We start from the raw sequence: 9,405 nt of genomic DNA on the forward strand, positions 1-9,405 counted from the left end.
CTTTCTGGACTTTGCCAAGGCTGCTTTGGTGTGAAGGCAAGAGACCCTCATTGACCCCAGCTGCATGGAATTGTTCTTTCAGAGCAAACGTTGTTCATTAGAGCATGTGAAAACCTTGTTTAAAATAGGTCCAAATGTCCTAATTTATTTTTTAGGGAAGCGGCCCTTTTAGAAAACAATTTCTGAAGAGCCAATAACAGTTCAGCCATGGATGTAGGGGTCAGGGGCTGGGCCAGGTGCTGGTCGCTGAGGACAGCGTGTTGTCAGTGAAGGCCCAGTGAGGGCGTGGGAGCCTCGGTGCCCAGGATGGGGACAGCTTCAAGAGCCCAAGGCAATGGCTCCAGAATCCCAGCCACAGACCCCAGGCAGGCGGCGGCTCTACCCCACATCTATGGGGCCCAAGGCCAGAGAGGACAAGGGCAAGCCTGAGCCCATTTTCTGTGAATGATTTCTGTGCAGGGCCTGAGGGACACCCAAACTCTAAGCAACCCTTGGGATTGACCGACAACACTTTGTGGGAGAGGAGGAGAAGAAAGTGGGATGTGTTGTACTGAAATACAGTAAATGTCTACTAAAACTGTAAATTTATTTTAGAACCAGAATTAAAGTATGGCAGGCACATACCAAGACCCACATAAAAATCTATTTAAAAATCAATAAAAATCTTCATAATAAATCCCAAACTTGCCCTTTCTATCACTCAAACTCGCAACTTTACACAAACTTGCAACTTATTATCGTAAAAGCATCTAAACAGCTAATTTTATGTTAACCATTTGCTGTTCCATTTCGCTAATGCATCACATTTGAGAATGATGTATTTAAAAAGATAATAACCACGTGAAAAAGTGGTGTTTCTTTATATATTCTTCGAAATTCTTGAATATGCATTATTTTATTTCTATTAACATAAGCCTATAGGATAATTCTTAGTTCTCATTTCATACATAAGGAAACTGAATCCCAGAAAAAAATAAAATAAAAGATTTGCTCAATACAACCAAGTTACGGGCACAGCCAACATCAAAATCCAGTTTCCCCGATGGCTAGTACTTCTGTTTACACAACACCACATCTCGTGAACTAGAAATATGGGTCTTGGAGCTAAAAGAAAGCTGCAGACAAGCCGTTCACTGGGCTCCTTCCAGCCACACCACGTTGCCTCTGCTCCCTATCACCCAGTCTCCTCCATCCTAGCCCTAGAGTCACCAGAGGAGCTTTGGGCTCTTGATGAGCTTGCTAATCCTCCTTGTCTACCTGGAGAAAGGAGAGGGCTTTGGTCTATGTTGCTGAGCTTGCGAATCCTCCTTGTCTACCTGGAAAAAGGAGAGGATCTCCAAGGATGTGGTCAATGTGCAGCCCATTCCAGCCAAAAGTTCACACTCACCCAAATCCCTGGCCGGTTTCTCAGAATCCACACGTGCAGAGAATGCAAAGTTCCAGATAAACACCTGAACTGTCAGGGGCTTGCCTGAGCCTAAGCTAAACTTGACTGGGGTGTCTACTTCTCTTCTGCAGTCTTATCTAATGCCCATCTCTTGATTTGCCAGCAGGGAAGTTGTGGGAATATTCCCAGGCACTGTGATGAAAGTATTTTGCTGTGTTATATTCCTTGCACAGCTGCAAAAGCAACATGTCCAATTGGCTCAGTGGGTTGGAACGCTGCAGGTGGCAAGGCGCAATTTGAGCTCTCTGTCCACCATGGCCACTTGGTCGGATGCCCGCTTCCCTGGTGTCCAACCACGTCAATCGACCAGCCCTCCTGAGTGCAAAGGGTGGGAGCCCTGATACTCGTGTGTCAATCAGAGGAAATGACTCGAAATGAGATGAGCGGGAAGGCATGCCCCAAGAAGGAAGAGTGCCACACTAGTCATGTACACACGTGTCGTGGGAGCTCAGATGGCAGGTGGACTTCGTGTTACTCAAAGAACATGAGAGGAATCCCTCTTTTTCTTCTCTGTCTTCTCTCTTCAGTAATGTTAGGAAAGATGATCCAACAAGCTAAGATCTGGGAGGATGATGCCATTTTGAAATAGACATTGCCAAATATCCCTAGACCTCAAACTAACTGTGCAAAGGAAGATTTGGGTGTTGGGAGTGCTGCAGAAAAATATCTGGGATAGAAACAAAATGTAACCCGTGTGCGAGTTGTCCAAAGACTAAGGTAATTGCTATAAGAAATGTCACTCAGATTTCATCTCCAGATGACTTGTTGCTACTGTTGCTCCAGCCCAGTAGGTCTAGATAATTACAACAAGCCCAAATGAAATACAAAATGGTCTATAGCTGTGGCTGGAAAAGTCGCTGTTTTCAGAATAACCATTTAAAGATACAGAAGAACCATCCAAGCATCTGATTCTCAAAGTTGGCTGCGCCAGGAATCACCGAGGAAGCCTTGAAAATCCTAATGCCGGCCGGGCGTAGTGGCTCACACCTGTAGTCCCAGCACTTTGGGAGGCCGAGGTGGGCGGATCACGAGGTCAGGAGATCGAGACCATCCTGGCTAACACAGTGAAACCCCGTCTCTACTAAAAATACAAAAATTTAGCTTGGCGTGATGGCGAGCGCCTGTAGTCCCAGCTACTCGGGAGGCTGAGGCAGGAGAATGGCGTGAACCCGGGAGGCGGAGCTTGCAGTGAGCAGAGATCGCGCCACTGCACTCCAGCCTAGGAGATAGAGCGAGACTCCGTCAAAAAAAAAAAAAAAAAAAAGAAAAGAAAGGAAAAAAGAAAAAGAAAAGAAAATCCTAATGCTGCCAGGGTCGCATCTCCAGGATGCTGATTTAATTATGGTGGGTTGAGGTGTGGGTGTGGGATTTCTGAAACTTCTCTAGGTGAGTTTAGTACACAGAGGGTGTGGGGAAGCCCTGAGCAACTCAAGTCAGGCTGCAAAGCTGCTCCTGTGCAGAGGGCTCCTCGGGGAGCTGAAGCTGTGCAAAGCCCAGTGAACGTTAATGACTGCGCAAACATAACCCAGGACTGGGCCAGGCTGGTCTTCAGTTCCAGGTCATATATTCAGAACCCAGAAACGTTTTGGTCACAAGGTCAGACAAGTACTCAGCCCCTCTTCACACGTGCAAAGCCAGTGCAGTTGGGAGCTACCAGCTCCCCAGAAAGATGCATGCACAGCAGCGTCACAGCCAGCTCTGCACCAGGCCACAACTGTGTGTGTGCAACCACAAGCCCTGGGGCTGGGCCTGTCCTATGGAAGAGCCCTACCGAGCATCACACATTCACACACACACGCTCACGCATGCTCACACAGAGACACTCATGTACCAAACACACTCACATTCACAAAACACACACAGTGACAGTCATGCCGACACACACACATTCACACTCAAACTCACAATCACACACTCATACACAATCACACACATGCTCACACAGATACACTCGCATACCAAACACACTCATATGTGCAAAACACACAGTGACACCCCACACACACAAAACTCACATTCATACCACACACGGTCACACTCACACTCACGGTCACACACATTCACACTCACACATAGTCACTCACACACAGTCACATACAGTCACATGGTCATACACACATTCATACTCATGCTCTCACACACACATTCACAGTCACACACCCAGTCACACTCACATACACACATTCACACATAGTCATTCATATGTTCACACTCAGTCACATTTATACACATTCACAAACACATTTTCACACTCATGCACACATTCACACTCACACAAGCTCTCACATGAAATATTCTCATGCACACATTCACAGTCACACACTAACACAGTCACACACAGTCTCACTCACAATCACACTCACTCTTACACACAGTCACACTCATTCCCGCATAGTCACACTCACAGTCACAGTCACACACACATTCACTCACACACATTTACCCTCACACAGCCACACTCATTCACCCACAGTCACACACTCACACAGTAACACAGTCACAGTCACTCACATAGTCACACTCACTCACACTCATACACACTCACACAGTCACACTCATTCTGTCACACTCTCACAAAGTCACATTCATTTTCACACAGTCACACTCACAGTCACACTCATAGTCACACTCATACACAGTCACACACACTGTCAGTCACACACACCGTCACACTCACTCTCACACACACACTCATTCTCTCACAGTCACACTCTCAGTCACGCTCACTCACACTGTCTCACACAGTCACACTTTCACACACACGGTCCCACTCACACACAGTCCCACTCTCTCACACACAGTCCCACTCTCTCTCACACACACACACCTCTTAATCACCCGCATTCGCCCTGGGAGGACAGCAGCTGTCCCCTTGGGGCCTCTGCCTGGGCCGCAGCGGGTCTGACTGGCTTAGACTGGCACCTCCCCGGAGTCCTGCAAAGGAGCCGCCTTCCTTGTTTGCCAGCGAGCGGGGAACAGCGGCCTCGTGCTCTCTCCTGTCTCAGTCTTTAGTTGATTTTACCCAATCGACCACTTGGCACCTGTTCACTCTTTCTCTCGAACTGAATCAAAGCCCATAGCTGTGAAGGGAGTAGGCCATCCCATCCTAATTCTACGTCGACCATGACAAGTGGGCTCACAGAAGGAAAAACCCCAAGAGCCAATAATAAGAACCAGGTCACTGCAGCCAACAGACCATCTCGACAGCCAGCCTTCACCAGCTCCCCTGAGGAGCCTGCAGGCCTCCCTGGAGCTCACAGCAGAGCTCCTTGCAGCCCTGGTCAGCTTGGTTACTGCTGCAGAACCAGGCACCGCTCCCTTCCTTCCACCAAATGCCACCTTTCACCTCCCTGGGTGTGCATCGTCCCACACGGGATAGGCCCAGGGGAACGCGGCTTCAGCCCTGTTCACTCCACTCCTTGTCATCACGGGCCATCCCACCCGGCTTGCAGAGAGATGTTTGGGGAATATTTGGAAGCGTTAGCCTGTGACCTGGCAGGTTTTCTATCTTGTTCCAGTTCCTCAGTGACAGAGCTTGCTACTTCTGTTGCTACAGAACCCTGGAAAGGTAACATTTGTCTCTGTTCTGACCTCGGCCATAGCAGGGCTTGTCAACAGCCTAATGCCTCTGATTCCTTCACTCTTCCACGAAGAAGAGCAGAGGCTCTAGAGTCAGTGCTGGTCTCATCTCCCCGGAGACGAGTCACACATCAGCAGAAGGAAGCAGGGAGAAGGAGAGAGGATGGGGCCAGGACTCATCAACACTCCGGATCTTACACAAAGGGCCTTTGCAGGAAGCTGTGGTGAAGGACTGGGCCAGGACTCAGAGCGATGCATGCCAGAAAGTTCTCAGTACGGAAGCCCGCCTTTCATCCAGTACTCACTTGAACCCTGCAGCAGGGAAACTTTGTCGGGATTTTTGCTTACGCTCGAGAGTGGGCGAGCCTGAGAGAGAACCACTTGAACCATCTTGTACCGTACCAGGGTGTACCTACCTCAAAGGGGTGTTGTACGGAGCTTAATTAATTAATGTTGCAAAGTGCTCTGGGCTCGTCGGATGAAAGGGAGCTCGAAAAGTGCAACGTATTATTATTATTAAAATGATATTTAGTATTTGCAGGCGGGCCAGATGCTGAATGCAGATAGGCCTCGATAAAAGATGGACCACAAAAGAAGAAAAAGTTAATAAGGTGTTTCGGGCATGCTGCTGATAGTCTCACTGAAATTGCTTCTCTCTCCTGTGATGATGATTTGAGCAGAGATAGGATCTTAACTGCTTTGCAGAACCAAAGGGTATTTCCATGGCAGGCGTTCTGAGGACCCAGAGACTGGTACAAAACAACAAATGCCCACCTTGCCCTACCTTCCCTCGCAAAAGGTAAAACTGCCCATCTCTGAACTAAAGCAATCCTGCTGCAAGCCAGGGAAACCAGACTCAGATTTGGTATTTTTAGATGATTAAGAAATAATTTAATATGTTATTACGGCCTCCGTCCAGTAAGCGACATGCTAATGTTTGACAGTGATTTGAGAAAATAAGGAAATGAATGAAGAGTTAAAACGGTGTGTGGAGCAAGTTAAGTAGTGAAAATCCCTGACTGCACAGTCGAAAGCCCGGCCCTGCACTGCCAGCTACAGACAGAGGTGCTGGCAGAGCAAGTCCCGACACGCACGTCTTTATTAAATCTTTTTTAAAACACAGAAGTTAACTGTCTCCTGAAATATTTCGGGTGTTTAAACGTGCCACAGCTGACAAAAAGTAATTTTTAAAAGTCCTGGCACACGATTACACTTGGTAACATGTATCTGTTTCTGCTCCAGAAAAAAAAAAAAAAAAAGCAAGGCAGTGATTCAAACACCTTCTCTGCACGCAATGAAGTTTGAACCTACACGTTCTAGGGGATAATTACCACTCCTTTTACTCCTTAAATTCATGGCATTTTAGAGGTCATCTAGTTGATTTTTCAAATGAAGACGTAGGCCCAGAGAGATAAAAATTTCTTAATCAAGTCTATATATGTAGTCAGTGATTTAGAACTGGAATATAACCAGTTCTATATAACTGGAATATAACCAGAGGTCATTAAGGGGCCCCCAAATACAAATTTGAGGAGAGCCTCCTGTGCTCTGTTAACTGCCAAATAAAGGACGGTCCCCTGGGAATGGAGTCCCTGTCCACCCATGTGAGTATGGTTAGAGTGACGGGCACTGCGGCTGGGTGGCTCTCGGGCTGGCACTGCGGCTGGGTGGCTCTCGGGCTGGCACTGCGGCTGCGTGGCTCTCGGGCTGGCACTGCGGCTGCGTGGCTCTCGGGCTGGCACTGCGGCTGCGTGGCTCTCGGGCTGGCACTGCGGCTGGGTGGCTCTCGGGCTGGCACTGCGGCTGGGTGGCTCTCGGGCTGGCACTGCGGCTGCATGGCTCTCGGGCTGGCACTGCGGCTGCGTGGCTCTCGGGCTGAAGGGGTTCCACACACATCGCTCCTGGGACCTTGGCTTCCACCCTAGAGAGAAGGTCCAGTTCCCCTAGTTTACCCACCAGGACACAAAGCTTCCAAGCCTCCAAGTGACTTGTTAAAGGACAAACACACACCTGGGATCTACCGGCCCCACCTTAGTGTTTGTTAGTGGGGGTGATGGACCCCGTCATTCTTGTCCGTCAGCCTCTGCCAGTCTTTCTCATGCTGTGCTAAGCAGTGCTCTAGTTGTTTAATGAGATATTTTTCTTCCTTCTAAGTTGTAAGTTACTTGATAGTAACGGTGGAATTTATGTTCCCTGGTGTTCTCTGTAGTGACTAGCAAAATTAACACCTACATATTTATTACTTTTTTTTTTTTTTTAATGGAGTCTTGCTCTGTCACCCAGGCTGGAGTGCAATGGCATGATCTCTGCTCACTGCAACCTCCGCCTCCCAGGTTCAAGCGATTCTCCTACCTCAGCCTCCCGACTAGCTGGGATTACAGGCGCACACCACCACGCCTGGCTAATTTTTCTATTTTTAGTAGAGACGGGGTTTCACCATGTTGGCCAGGCTGGTCTCAAACTCCTGACCTCAGGTGATCCACCCACCTCGGCCTCCCAAAGTGCTGGGATTACAGGCGTGAGCCACCGCACCTGGCATTTATTGCTTTTATACCCACCTCTGTAGGAATTTTTCTATTTGCTTGTACGCATATGTAGAAATGCAAGAGAGTGAAAGATTTTGTAATTAGATGTACAATCTTCTGAAGCGAAAAGTGCAGGTGGAATTTTGGGGGGGAAATAAATATAAGTAAAATGAGGTCGTCCGTAAATATTCACAAGTAGACTAGGGCATCAGAAAGGGACCTTCAGGTTCAGCCAGCTCCTTCGTGGAAGTAGAGTCAGGACTCAAAGAGTCAGGACTGGCATCGGGCTGCATTCCGTCAGTAGCAGAGGCAGGACGAGTGTCCGGGCACTCAGGTGTCCGGGCACCAAATCTGTTGTCCTTAGAAGGCAACAAGGAACCATTCACATCTCAGTGGAAATGCTGAGCTTTAAGAAGTGAACATTGGGATCATAGTAAAAGATTGTGTTTTCTTGAATTACAACATCTTAAGAGATTTGGCAATAGATACACATCCAAAGATTCTTGAAACCCAGGTTGTGTTCTTAGCTCTGTCATCGGTTCTTCCTGACTTCCAGATGGCGAGACGTCTATAACCAAGGGCCACGTCTCAAACTGAGGTCAGTTCTGTGTGATGAATGTCGCGAGGGATACTTCATTTCACAGAATCGATATGCTGCTCCCAGATTTGCCAGAAGTGGAATGTTTGTGCTAGAAGTCATATTTCTTAAACGGAACTTTATGATAGAGGTGTGATCGTCACATGCAGGTCTCTATGCACATGTATTTTGCCTCAAGATAATCGTGAAGATCATGGTGGCAATGACCCGATCATAGATGCACAATCCTTCAAAGGCACGTATTTAAAAGACATAACAATTCAACATGTGAAATGTTTAGGACCATTTTAAAATTTGACCCCACAGCTCAGTACCTAAGGGAAGACATCTAACTGCAGGGGTGGATTGACGTCTAACCACAGGCGTGGACTGCACTCACTGAAGAGCCCTCACCTCCTATTGCCCACCCTCTCCAGACCCTACAGTGGGCTTCCTGCACCTTCCTTTAGTCATTGTTTGCTAATTTTAGAACTTTTGGGGAATTACTGTCTTTTCAAAATGGACAGGCAGAGATGGCCACAGCAGGAAGACACACTGGACCGTGTCATAAGCAGAGATGTAATACACATTCCGAAATATGTCATCTGTCACCCTACCCCTGGGTCAACAGGGTTTGCACATTTAATGATAAGGGTGGATGGAGACTGATGGAGAAGCTCTGGATTTTCTGTTTTCTTCTGTGAGAAGGATGACTTTAATTCCAACAAGCCCAAAAGGTGCTTTCAGCAATGAAAGGGGTCATGAAACTCAGATGAAAATCCAAAATCTCAGCAAAATTTAATTGGAATTAAAGTCAGAAATTAAATTTGAATTCAATTAAAGCAGAAAATCCAAAATTTCAGCTAAAAACAAAGGAAACCTGTCCACAGTGAACATTTTAATTAAAAACCTGCTTCATCTAGTATAAAACTCTTATAATCAGTTTCTAAGAATTCAGCATTTATTTCCATCCTGAATTACCCACACTATTTTTGGTGTGTTCATCATTCTGCATGTCTATGTTCTTTAAGTCCTAATCAATCTCTTAACAACACAGAGAACAGCCATTGGGTATGAATTCATCCATACTCCAGGAAATCCTGATCACTTAGAGAACGATGCTCTGTTTTCCGGGCCACGTTTAGACTCCCACGACACCTCTTTGTTGCCTATCTGACATAAATGTTTGTTTCAATCAGAGCGTGAGTAGAAAGTGAATGAAACTTATCAGCTAGTTGTGGTTTATTGGTGCTCTGATTAAAGCTTTAATGGCAGTA

This window comes from Homo sapiens, chromosome 7, assembly GCF_000001405.40.
Source record: "Homo sapiens chromosome 7, GRCh38.p14 Primary Assembly".
In the NCBI taxonomy this organism is placed as follows: Eukaryota; Metazoa; Chordata; class Mammalia; order Primates; family Hominidae; genus Homo; species Homo sapiens.